This window comes from Homo sapiens, chromosome 7, assembly GCF_000001405.40.
Source record: "Homo sapiens chromosome 7, GRCh38.p14 Primary Assembly".
Lineage (NCBI taxonomy): Eukaryota > Metazoa > Chordata > Mammalia > Primates > Hominidae > Homo > Homo sapiens.
Window position 1 is genome coordinate 107,970,318 of NC_000007.14, and position 12,225 is coordinate 107,982,542.

The 12,225-nt window shown below is 41.6% G+C and overlaps 1 protein-coding gene across 3 annotated transcripts in view, besides 1 other annotated feature; it reads right to left on the reverse strand.

Moving 5' to 3' along the window:
* LAMB1 (laminin subunit beta 1) overlaps positions 1–12,225 on the reverse strand; it is a 79,363-nt gene that overhangs the window by 46,519 nt on the left and 20,619 nt on the right. For all 3 annotated transcript variants that reach the window (NM_002291.3, XM_047420359.1, XM_047420360.1), the window contains exons 8-13: positions 10,292–10,494; positions 7,730–7,850; positions 5,372–5,560; positions 4,917–5,096; positions 4,669–4,781; positions 2,675–2,754 (exon numbers count right to left, since the gene is read on the reverse strand). In NM_002291.3, the coding sequence (NP_002282.2) occupies positions 2,675–2,754; positions 4,669–4,781; positions 4,917–5,096; positions 5,372–5,560; positions 7,730–7,850; positions 10,292–10,494 (886 nt within the window). The remainder of the gene's footprint in view (positions 1–2,674; positions 2,755–4,668; positions 4,782–4,916; positions 5,097–5,371; positions 5,561–7,729; positions 7,851–10,291; positions 10,495–12,225) is intronic.
* Positions 6,061–6,561: an enhancer, noted in NCBI's record as "H3K4me1 hESC enhancer chr7:107616823-107617323 (GRCh37/hg19 assembly coordinates)". NCBI's record gives its function as "activates a minimal SCP1, AML or CMV promoter by ChIP-STARR-seq in primed H9 embryonic stem cells {active_cell/tissue: H9 hESC(primed)}" and the evidence as "EXISTENCE:reporter gene assay evidence [ECO:0000049][PMID:30033119]".

The following is a 12,225-nucleotide window of genomic DNA, read 5'->3' on the forward strand; positions in this document are numbered from 1 at the left end:
TCTCTACTAAAAATACAAAAATTAGCTGAGTGTGGTAGCTGGTGCCTGTAGTCCCAACTACTCGGGAGGCTGAGGTGGGAGAATCGCTTGAACCCAGGAGGCGGAGGTTGCAGTGAGCCAAGATCAATGCCACTGCACTCCAGTCTAGGTGACAAAGCGAAACTCTGTCTCAAAAAAAAAAAAAAAAAGGGGGGGGTGGGCTTCAAGCCAGATATGAAAACTCTACATTTCATTGTTAAAATAATCTTGAAGGATGCTGTAAAAATGTTTATATTTTTCAATGTTATTAAACATTTACAAGTAGCATTTACCTAGCAACCAATGCCAATTCTTTTTCATTAAAACAGGTAATCTACTAGGCAAAACTTCATTAACTTGGCTTCAGTTAGATTATTTAAATTAATTAGGTCTTATTATTTTTTTTTTTTCTTTGAGACAGAGTCTTGCTCTGTTGCCTAGGCTGGAGTGCAATGGCGTGATCTTGGTTCACTGCAACCTCTGTTTTCTAGGTTCAAGCGATTCTCCCTGCCTCAGCCTCCCAAGTAGCTGAGATTACAGGTAGGTGCCACCACGCCTGGCTAATTTTTGTATTTTTAGTAGAGACAGGGTTTCACCATGTTGGCCTGGTTGGTCTTGAACTCCTGACCTCAGGTGATCTGGCGCGCCGGCCTCCCAAAGTGCTAGGATTACAGGCATGAGCCAACGCGCCTGGCCACTTCTTTAATTATTCCAAAGTTCAGGTTAGTTGTCAATATAATAGACATGGATTATTAAACTTTTGTTGTACTACCAAAAATCCATTTAGCTCACTATACAAAACATCTTAAAGCTTTTACCACTTCCAGTGATTTTTATGGTTAATTCTGTCCCTCAACAAAGTAACTAAGGAGTGTCTGGGATCACATTTAGAGATTGCCTCTCTAAGGAGTACATATCTAGTTTTTAACATCTTAGAAATCTTTTATTTTTAAATTCTACTCAATCAGCATTTATTCAGTACCTACAACGTATTTCTTTTACTACGTAAAAAGAAATATCAGGTAAAAGGTTTTGATGAGTGATTGCAACAAACCAATCATCCAGTAAACATTTCCCAAGCGGCATCTGTGCACATCTCCCAGTAGAATCAGTGCTTCAGTTGACCCTGCCTAAGGGGCTCCTGGGGAAATTCCTCTTGAGGGACAACAACTTTGAAAAGGCTCACCATAAAACACTCTAGAGTCACCAGACTACAAGGCATCTTTAAATGTTCTTTTTTTCCCCTCCACCAATGATTCTCAAAGATAGGGCATCCCATCAATCATGCTAGAAAGATCAGATGATTACCTGCTTTAAAAATCTTTACTAGACAATTTTGCTTCCCAAACTCTCTTGGTGAATACATTCTGGTTTTTATAAATTTTTGCACAAGAGATTAGAGGGCAGGCTAGGGCCTGTGCGTGGGTGGAGACAGACAGGAAGTGTGTATGGAATAGAGAAAAAGAGGAAGGGAGTGTAGGAACAAAACTTACTTAGGGTTAAGAATCATAGGACATTCCTGAGTTTATGACATAATTTGGGGAATTGCATATGCCACTTTTATCTCATCAAGAAGGACTTTAGGAGTGATGACAGCTTTGAACTGAGGAGTCATTTACTAAAGGATTCAACATGTGTTCTGGGAGTCACAAAGGAAAAGTCAGAAAAGTGATTCCACAAGCAGACAGCATTCTGTCTTTCTTCCCTGCTTTTATGGAATTATCCTAGCTTCCTCCTCTCTGGAGGTTTTCTAAGAACAGATATTCACACCGGATTTCAGAGGCTACATGCTGTACTGGGTCTATGGCACGACCTCGAACAGAACAAACCCAAATAAAGAGGACAAACACAACATGTTCTTGCTGCTGAATACCTCATTCCTTCCCAGCAGACTACTATGGTGTTGGGAAATAATTGGGAAAGAAAGTCCATTTTTGAGTACATGAAGCTTGCTCAATGAATTCAGAGTGTTCTCTCTGGGAAGACTCAAGGCCACAGGGAAACATCTGTCTATTCTCTCAGCAGTCACTTACACTATCTGTTCCAGATGTTCTGACTCTGAGCCAGGAACAGAGACCAACATTCTCTTTGACTCGAAGGTGGTTAAACTCCCACAGATTTAACATCTTGCCAAATGTGTGTTCTGATAGCTTCTGGTGGAGCTTTATGCTTCATTTATTCAAGGAATACTAGCATATTTAAGTAGCTCAACATTATCTCATGTGATTTTCATTAATGGACTTGGAAGTCACAAAAAAAAAAAAGAAAAAAAGAAAATGAAAAGATTCTCTACACAAATCAAAACAGGAGTCCATTTTCCATGTGCTTAGATTGTTGAAAAATAAAATGGTTGATGATACCAACTGTTGCTGGGGATGGGGGAAAAGGTACTTTTGTAACTGATAGGAAAATAAACTAGTTCAATATGTCTGGAACAACCTAACATTCTCTATTAAAATTAAAAATACATATGTACTTTGACTTAGCAGTTCCATCACTGGGAATCTAGTCCATAGAGGTACCTACACACATTTATCAAGACATACAAAAAATATTTTGCATGTCTTTTTGAGAAACAACTGAATGTCACCCATTCCTGTAAGTCATGACTTTCCTGGAAGACTGAGGACAAGAGCATACGTAGAGCTCCATTTACCTGTTGTTTAAGGCTCCCCCAAGGTCACAGTCACATGGTCGACATCCATCCAAATCATTGCTTAAGCCCCAGTGCTCTGGCTGCAGAACAAAACGTGAAACATGTAACGGTAGGTTTCTGTAATTATGCAACAGACTCAGCAACAAGCAAGTTAAAGCTTGTTTCGGCTGTTCCACCAAATGCTCATTTTCATCATTAAAGCAGAAAGCCAACAAAAGGAAGGAGTATTCTGAAATCAAGAAACCTGAGCTGTAGGCACTGGCGTAAGAGAGCCGTTCACAATCACAGGATCGTGCCAGGTCAAAGACTAGCTGCTCTGCCCTATAGATAACCTCCATCCAACAACTAAGAAGAGCAAGCAGTAAAGATACCAATTTTCCTCATTATAATTACTCTGGCTGTAAGAGAATTATGGCAAGGATTTGGCAGGCCTTTAAATCTGCCCTCAGTTCAGTCTGTCATCAATCCCATACAGAAAGCCCTCCAAGAATTTATGTGGAAATGTAGCATACAGCTACGACTATTCTCACCACTGAGCCACGAGGAAATCAGATCTTTAGAGCACCAGAGATGGAAATAAAGAGAAATGGAACAGTAGGGAAGAGGAGCTCTGTGCACTTCAAAAATGAGTATATAAAAACAGGTTCACCAATTTATTTTATTTATTTTTTTGAGATGAAGTCTTGCTCTGTTGCCCAGGCTGGAGTGCAGTGGTGTGATCCCAGCTCACTACAACCTCCGCCTCCTGGTTTCAAGCAATTTTCCTGCCTTAGCCTCCCGAGTAGCTGGGATTACAGGCATGTGCCACCACACCCAGCTAATTTTTCTATTATTTTTAGTAGAGATGGCGTTTCATCATGTTGGCCAGGCTAGTCTTGAACTCCTGACAAGTGATCCACCTGCCTCAGCCTCCCAAAGTGGTGGGATTACAGGTGTGAGCCATTGTGCCCAGCCTATTTTATTTATGATTTTAAAAAATTTTAGAGATGGGGTCTTGCTGGTCTCAAACTCATGATCTCAAGCATTCCTCCTGCCTTGGCCACCCAAAGCACTGAGATTACAAGTATGAGTCATCACACCTGACCAGGCTCATCAATTTAGACTTCCAGAAATCTCCTTTAAGAATATATTAAGATTATATATAAATATACATATTTAATGGTAATAATTTGGGGGTAGTGAATCCTCCCTAAATTAGAAAGTATAACAATGTTATTAAAAATACAGATTTTTAAAAACTTATCTCATAATTATCCTACTTGGAATTATTACAGTGAACTTTTTGGTGTATTTCCTTCCAGATTTTGTTTTCCTTGATGAATTTTATTTCCTACTTAATCAAGATACTATTCATATCCTGTGTGTGTTTTTTTTTTTAAATATAGCAAGCAGCATGAGCATTTCCTGATGTTATTGTCATTTTCAGTGGCAACCAAATATTACATTGTATAGAAGTCCCCACACTTAACTATTTTTCCACTGTTGTTTCCAAGTCTTCTGCTATGATTAATAAAAGATGCAATGAGTCTTCTGGAGAATAAATCTTTGTCCAATTTTCTGATTATTTCATTAGAATAGATTCCCAGAGGTGGGGTTACTGGGTCAAAGGGTATGCCCATTTCTACAAGCTACTGATATGTATCTCCAAAATGCTTTTCACAAAAGTACAAACCAATATGGATGCCCACCAGCAGCCAAGAAGTAGCAGTACCTCATGATATCCTAATAGTAAACATTCCCATTTTTAAAAACTTGTGTTAATTGTGTCTATAAAAGTGGTATTTTATTGTGGCTTTCCTTTACACTTCTAACAGGGATGGTGAACATCTTGTGAAATCATCCATTAGTAATTCCTATTGTGTGCATTGTCTACTCATGTCTTTTAACACGTACACGTGAGGGTGATCGCAGACTCTACAATGGCGAAAAGGCTTCTCTATTAAAACATGTCATCCTCACCAACCACCCATCCCACGTAATGAGGATTTACTTACCAGGCACTGGTCACAATGCTGTCCTGTCACCAGACGCTTGCAGTAGCAGTGACCTGTCTCGGAATCACAAGGATTCCCTCCAGGAATTGTTCCCAGAGGATTGCAAGCACAAGCTGTATTAAAACAAAATGAAGTGGAGAAACACAGACCACGTGAGTTTCAAATAATAATCTGGCTTTGGAATTACAAAGTAAAATGGGAATTTCAAACACAAGAAAACTCCCAAACTTTTTAGCAAACAGACCTACATTTACAACCAAATGGATCTTCACTGCTTAAATCATAGAAGCCTTCTTTGCAAACATCACAATGTTCTCCTTCCACATTTAATTTACACCGACACTGGCCAGCAATGAGACCAGTAGAAAAATCAGTATAGCTGTCACAAATTCCCTCATTTTGAGAGCCAGCTGGGTCACACGTACATCCTGAGAAGAATGCAAAGCACCAGGTTAAAATCAGGAGGAAACTCAATGTATCTTTGTATAAATACATATATTCCCTTCCTCCCTCTAAATCTCACAAAAGTCGACTAAAAGCAGCACAACTACCAAGTAAATTCCACTCCCAGCGTCTTCAACTGCAATTACAATAACAATGCTGGCTTTACTGCTCATACTATGAGCTCTGAGACTACTGACTATTCAGTTTGGAAGGCAATCTGAAGTAGGTCCCACACAGTGAGTGACATTTCTCAACATACGTTCACAGAAATTAGGATCTCGGATGTCCCTCTCTGGGTGCTGGTAGTAAAACGGCTTGCACTGCTCACAGTTGCGCCCCATGGTGTTGTGCTGACAGTCATCACACACGCCTCCGCTGACGTTCCCCGTGGCCAGGTAAACAGCCATGTCAAAGTGACAAGAGATGGAATGTTCATTGCAGTTACATTCTGCGTGACAAGAGCAACGTCAAGAAAAGCTTTTTAAATCTATGGACCAATGGAGGATGGGGGTGGCAGGAAGATCCTTTAGGAAACCAGGGACTAAGTTCAGACAAAATGGCAGTCAACAAGCAGGACTCCTGGGGAAAAAGGACGCATCCACCGATGACACTGTTTAAACCCTAAAGTAGATGAGAAATCTCAAAAATGTGAACTTTATAAAATAAACAGTTATCTGACCTCTGTGGAAGAGAATGGGCTATGAAAAATGGAAAACTCTAAGGGAAAGTCCCTTTGGAAGTGTATGACAGAGGATGGCTGCCATCCCACTGAGGGCGCTTTCTGGTCCACTCGAGGTGGGACTGGATGGAAGAACACTGTAGCGAGGGACCTTCCAGATGATGTGCTGCTAGGAAAGCCTGTCCACGGGCTCCCTGCTTCAAGGACCGTGAGGCCTGAAGGATGGATTCCCTTCTCCGTATTCCCATATTCCCACCACCACACCAGGCCAGGCCATAGTAAGGAAGGTAGGTCTGTTTAACAGCCAGCTAGCTGACCCCCTTGGGTGCAGCGCTTCCTTCTGCGAGCCCATTCGGCGGTCATCTTGGTGCCACCCAGCTTTAATCATCTCGCTCTCGGGCTTAACAATCCCATTCTTGTCTTTGCACAGGGAAGCTTGACTCAGCCTGGCCCTCCTGAGCCTCTGCACTCCAGCCTCCCACCTTGCCTGTCTCCCCCTGCAACACAACAGCCTGCAGAAGAGGGACTGTGTCTTATCTACTCACATCCTTGGTGCCCAACAGAGTACTGCTCTCAATACACTGGTTGAAGTGAACCTTGGAGTAATCCTTCCCAGCATGGACTCTGTGATGGTTTCAAGAACATCCTTGCGGCCTTGTGCTTCACATTGTTGTTCTTACCTGAACTCCCTCCCATCTTCCTTCCTCTCTTTTCCTTTTCTTTCCTCTCTCTCCTTCCTTCCTTTCCTCTCCTTCCTTCCTTCCTTTCCTCTTGCTCCTTCCTTCCTTTCCTCTTGCTCCTTCCTTCCTTTCCTCTCTCTCCTTCCTTCCTTTCCTCTCCCTCCTTCCTTCCTTTCCTCTCCCTCCTTCCTTCCTTTCCTCTTCCTCCTTCCTTCCTTTCCTCTCTCTCCTTCCTTCCTTTCCTCTCCCTCCTTCCTTCCTTTCCTCTCCCTCCTTCCTTCCTTTCCTCTCTCTCCTTCCTTCCTTTCCTCCCCTTCCCTTCCTCCCTCCCTCCCTTCCTTCTCCATGTTAAGTATCCATCAAGGGCCATCTGGTTTTTACCTACAAAGCAAGCCTTGACCACTCCAGCTCTCACTGGCTGCTGAACTTCTATAATAGTCCTTCTCAGTGGGGGCAGAGGCGGAGCTGCTCTTCAAGGGGAGGACATGCATCAGAATCACTGTTTGTGGAGTGGGGAGGGGCAGTGGTGTTGCCGGCTACATCTCCACCCGGAGAAAACCCCTGAGATGGATGGAGGGAGGTATGCCAGAGGCCGCAGCTGGACTGGCACAGAAACAAGGCCAAAAATGCTACTCCATATCTCTTAGACCTTCATCAGCTACCCTGCCATATAGTTCTTTCATTTTTCTCTCACGGTCATCTTGCCTTAAAAACAGCCCTGGCGCGGTGGCTCACATCTGTAAACTCCCAGCACTTTGGGAGGCCAAGGTGGGTAGATCACTTGAGGTCAGGAGTTCAAGACCAGCCTGACTAACACGATGAAACCTCTCCTCTACTAAAATTACAAAAAAAATTAGCAGGGCATGGTGGCGCGTGCCTGTAATCTCAGCTACTCCAGGAGAATCGCTTGAACCTGGGAGGCAGAGGTTGCAGTGAGCCGCCTGTGCCACTGCACTACAGCCTAGGCGACAAAAAAAAACCAAAAAACAAAACAGATACAATGTCAAGGACAGCACCTTAGTTTTCTACTGTAGCTGCCAAACTACTCAGCTCAGTGTCAAACACACAGAGGCTGTTCAGTGAATATTAATTAACTGAATGCAGATTGTTGGTTGTCTAGGAGTATCAGGGTGAAGCTGGAAAAAAGACAGTAACTTTTCTACCCTCTGCAAAACAGTACACTGTTACAGTACCTCTAATTAGGAAATGGATACTAGAGCCTGAATGGATTTAAAATGTCCCTTCAACACAGACTTACTTTTACAGGCGTTGCTGTTTCGGCCTTCAGCAGGTCTCCAAGGTAAATCATGGTAGAAATCCATGCAGAGTTCACAGTTTAAGCCCTTGGTGTTATGCCTGCACATGCAGTGTCCGTGAACCTTGAAAGTTATAAAAACAGGAGAGAACAAAGGAAGAGATGTATGAATAGCCACGTTTCTCCATAATCAATTGAAAGTTTAAAACCCTTTTTCATACTAATCTCTAGCTCACCACAGAAAAGGGTTGTTTGGTTGTTTTTATTTTCTCCCTGCCTGCAGTGAGTTGTCTGTCTTGTTGATGGCTACATGCCTCATCTCTAGAATGTTCCTATTACATAGTGGATGCACAAGAAATATTTTACTGAGTATCTATGAAAAGAACCCAGATGAAGAAAATTACTTAAAATTAAAAAAAAAAAAAAAAACTAGTTACTTAAGATTTTTTTAAGAAAACCTATTGTAATAGAAATCTACAAAAGTTATAATGTAGAACTAAATGCATACATACCACCTGGAAACCAATTTATATTACTGCACGATTTACCACTTAGCCAAATCACCATTTTTTTAAAAAGGTTTTTGTTAGCTAGCTTATTTTAGTTTTTTTTACTTCAGGCATAGCACTTAAATTTTTCTTTCAATGACAGTAAAATTTTAAAAATTAATCATTTATCACATTTACATTTATGTTTTCCTTTTATGTAAGGAAATATAAGATCTCGTAAAAGAAATATATTAATTTGCCTGATGAAAGGCCCATGATATATGATTTTGCCTTGTGTCACTGTAAGGCACACTTACGACCCTTGAGGCATATAAATGATAAATGAATTACGGCCTTTTGGTCCACTAAATATGCATGTATATGGGCATCTCACCTTAACAAGAGTTTCTACAGAATGGAATTCAGGAACAGGACAGACAGGTCCCTCCTGGACCCACCTTGGTGGGAATGCAGTTAGCAGAAGACTAAAGTCCTGTTATTACCAGGTGGTTTTACATAAACTGAAAACCAGTTCCAAAGCACATACCATAAGACCCTACTGGGCCTGAATCAACAGCACATGCTGTGAGACCCGTGATAGTAACAGGACATTAGCTACACAGCTGATTTGTTATGCCGTAAAGGGAACATAATCTACCTAGCATTCTGAAAGATGGACCAATAAGATTAGAGAAATACCTCCCTCCCCTTCAGGCTCCGTCAAAAATTCAACTTCTGTTGTGCAACAAAAGTTCTAACTGGAGTAAAGGGAAGGCAGAAGTTTTTAAAGGGCTGAATACACTCAATCCTGTACCTTCTAAGGACTAACAATCTTTGAAAAGGCAACAGCACATAAGCACAGCCTTCATGAGGGGAGGCCACAGCTTAGGGGAAGGAACCCTGGGGCTGAGTGAGGAGAGGCTTGAGCTTCCACCTGCTGCTCATTTACTTAGGGCTCTCTAGTAAATTACTTAATCCTTGGGCTCTATCACCAATAGTTGGTCTAGGTGATCTCATAAGTCCTATCTGGCCTTAAAATCCTCTAGGTCTGTAAGAATTCTCCTAGATACTAATAGAATAAACTCATCTATCCATTTGGCAAATCACCCAAATCCCAAATTTCAAAATGTACATAAGTTGCAAATGTGGCATAAAAGTGGGGAAAAGAATGGAATTAGGAGGAAAAGATAGAAAGAAACCAACTCCATTTGATCCCTAAAATGATATCCCATGGGTGTGGGTTAAAATTTTCCAGCCGTGGGCAGGGCGCATTGGCTCACGCCTGTAATTCCAGCACTTTGGGAGGCAGAGGTGTGCGGATCACTTGAGGTCAGGAGTTTGAGATCAGCCTGACCAATATGGAGAAGCCCTGTCTCTACTAAAAATACAAAATTAGCCAGATACGGTGGCACATGCCTGTAATCCCAGCTACTTGGGAGGCTGAGGTGTGTGGATCACTTGAGGTCAGGAGTTTGAGATCAGCCTAGCCAACATGATGAAACCCCACCTCTACTAAAAACACAAAAATTAGCCAGACATGGTGGTGTGGGCCTATAATCCCAGGTATTTGGGAGGCTGAGGCACAAGAATTGCTTGAACCCAGGATGCGGATGGTGCAGTGAGCTGAAATTGCACCACTGCACTCCAGTCTGGGCAACACAGCAAGACTCTGTCTCAAGAAAAAAAAAAAAAAATCCATTTCTTTGGGTTGAGATCAATTTATGCCTTCTAGCATAACTGCGGTTTTTAATCTTCCCTATGTAAAGGCAGACTCAATTGTTATTTAGACAACTTTTTAATCCTTGTTGACTAAAATATCTACTTTAGCAATAGCCTGAAGCAACAAATTCCAAAAATTCATCGTCTATGAAATGAGTAGTCTGTACATTCTCCGTGTCCAAGAAACTCTTCAAAGAGAAAATCAACAATCAGCTACCTGTATGGTGCAAAGGGCTAAATGTAACTCTGTAAAACTAAAACCCCCAGAAAATGTAAAAGGCTTAAGGTAAGACTAGCTTCACTTTGCATTTTATTACCAGCCACATAAAGGAGAAAGGTGCACAGAGGGCTTACTTACCATTCCTTCCACTTCTTCATTGAATCCATCCACAGGGGCACATTCGCTGGCATGACCATAGCAGAAGCAATTTCCTCGAACCACCATATCATAAACTGCATAATAATACTTTTCTCTGATTTCCATCCTGGAATCCAGAAGGTTATCTCCCAAAGTATGCAGTTTCACAAACTTGATTCTCAAGTTGGTAATTTTTAATAAATCTAGGAAGGTCATCAAGAAGATGAAAAGTCTGATCAGACAAGCAAGAAGTTTTTTTTTTTTTCCTTGCATCATTTCTTTTTAGAGAAAGGCATGACACATGAAAATAGCTTAAGTTCCTCCTCTTGTATGATCTAGATGACTCCAATAGTGAAGCCTAACATAACATGACTGCAAAGAGGAAAGGTTACTGCCCTCTCATCAGTTTCATAAGAATGTCGGCCGGGCGTGGTAGCTCACACCTGTAATTCCAGCACTTTGGGAGGCCAAGGCAGGTGGATCACTTGAGGTCAGGAGTTCGAGACCTGCCTGGCCAACATGGCAAAACCCCATCTCTAAAAAAATACAAAAATTAGACCGGGCGCGGTGGCTCACACCTGTATTCCCAGCATTTTGGGAGGCCGAGGTGGGCGGATCACCTGAGGTCAGGAGTTCAAAACCAGCCTTGACCAACATGGTGAAACCCCATCTCTACTAAAAATACAAAAAGTAGCTGGGCATCATGGCATCCGCCTGTAATCCCAGCTACTAGGGAGACTGAGGCAGGAGAATCGCTTGAACCTGGGAGGTGGAGGTTGCAGTGAGCCGAGATTGTGCCATTGCACTCCAGCCTGAACGACAAGAGCAAAACTGTTTAAAAAAAAAAAAAAAAAATTAGCCAGGTGTGGTGGCAGGCATCTGTAATCCCAGTTACTCTGGAGGTTGAGGCAGGAGAGTTGCCTGAACGACAACAAAAAAGAGTAGCTATTCTGTGATGGGTCTGTTTGCAGAACAGCTATTTAGGAAGAAGTGTGAAAGTGGAGAAATTATAAGAACGCAGCTGCATGACTGCTGGAACCTGCGGGCAGACAGTAATTTGAAGTAGCACAATGCCATCTGCTTCCCACAGCAATTAATGTCAGTTTCAACATGAGAAAATTCCATTCAGGTAGGAAAAGATTTATCAAAGCACTCCAGTTCTCATTGTTATTATAAGATAGTTAGAAACATTTTTGTCTCTATTTTTGGAAGGGAAAATTTGAAATTTCCCACCGCTTAAATGACATCCAAGTTACCAAAATAGTGTTAACGCTATAGAATAACTACAACCTAAGGAGAGAACATTTCAAGTTTTTAAGCAACATTTTGGTCCACAACTTTTTTGTCCCAGTTTTACAAAACGTTTCCACGTTTCTCAATATTATATAGTGACATAAGCATAAATAAGCTTAGTATTAGGATGTGGGGCAAATTATTTTTTCTCAAATACAAGTTACCTCTAAATCAATTTTATCTTTCCCTCTTCTTCCTAGGTCTGCAGACTTCTGCTTATTGTAAATGCTGGGCTACCAATTCATTCTATAGTAACTAGACAAACGAAGAGCCATTCAACCTTCTCCACGGGGTTTTCGTGAGTTACTAAGTTCTTCATGCTGAACTGGATCCCCAGAGATTGATTCATCTGTCTGCACTCTCAAGCTCTGTAGCCTGAAACGGTTCTTTACTGTCATTTATGTCTGTGCATTCTTATAAATTACAACATAAGACAACAGGGTAGTGGCCCAGTACATCAGATATTTTCACAGCCCAAATACAATTTCAAATGCTTTTAATACATGCATAGCTTACAATGAAGCTATAGAAATGGCTGCGGGTAGAAAGGAAAAGTCCATGTGTTAAACTTAGGTTCTTTGTAAAATCAAAAACTAAACAGAGAAACCGTGGTACTCCCCAACTGAATGGCAGTTATGAAC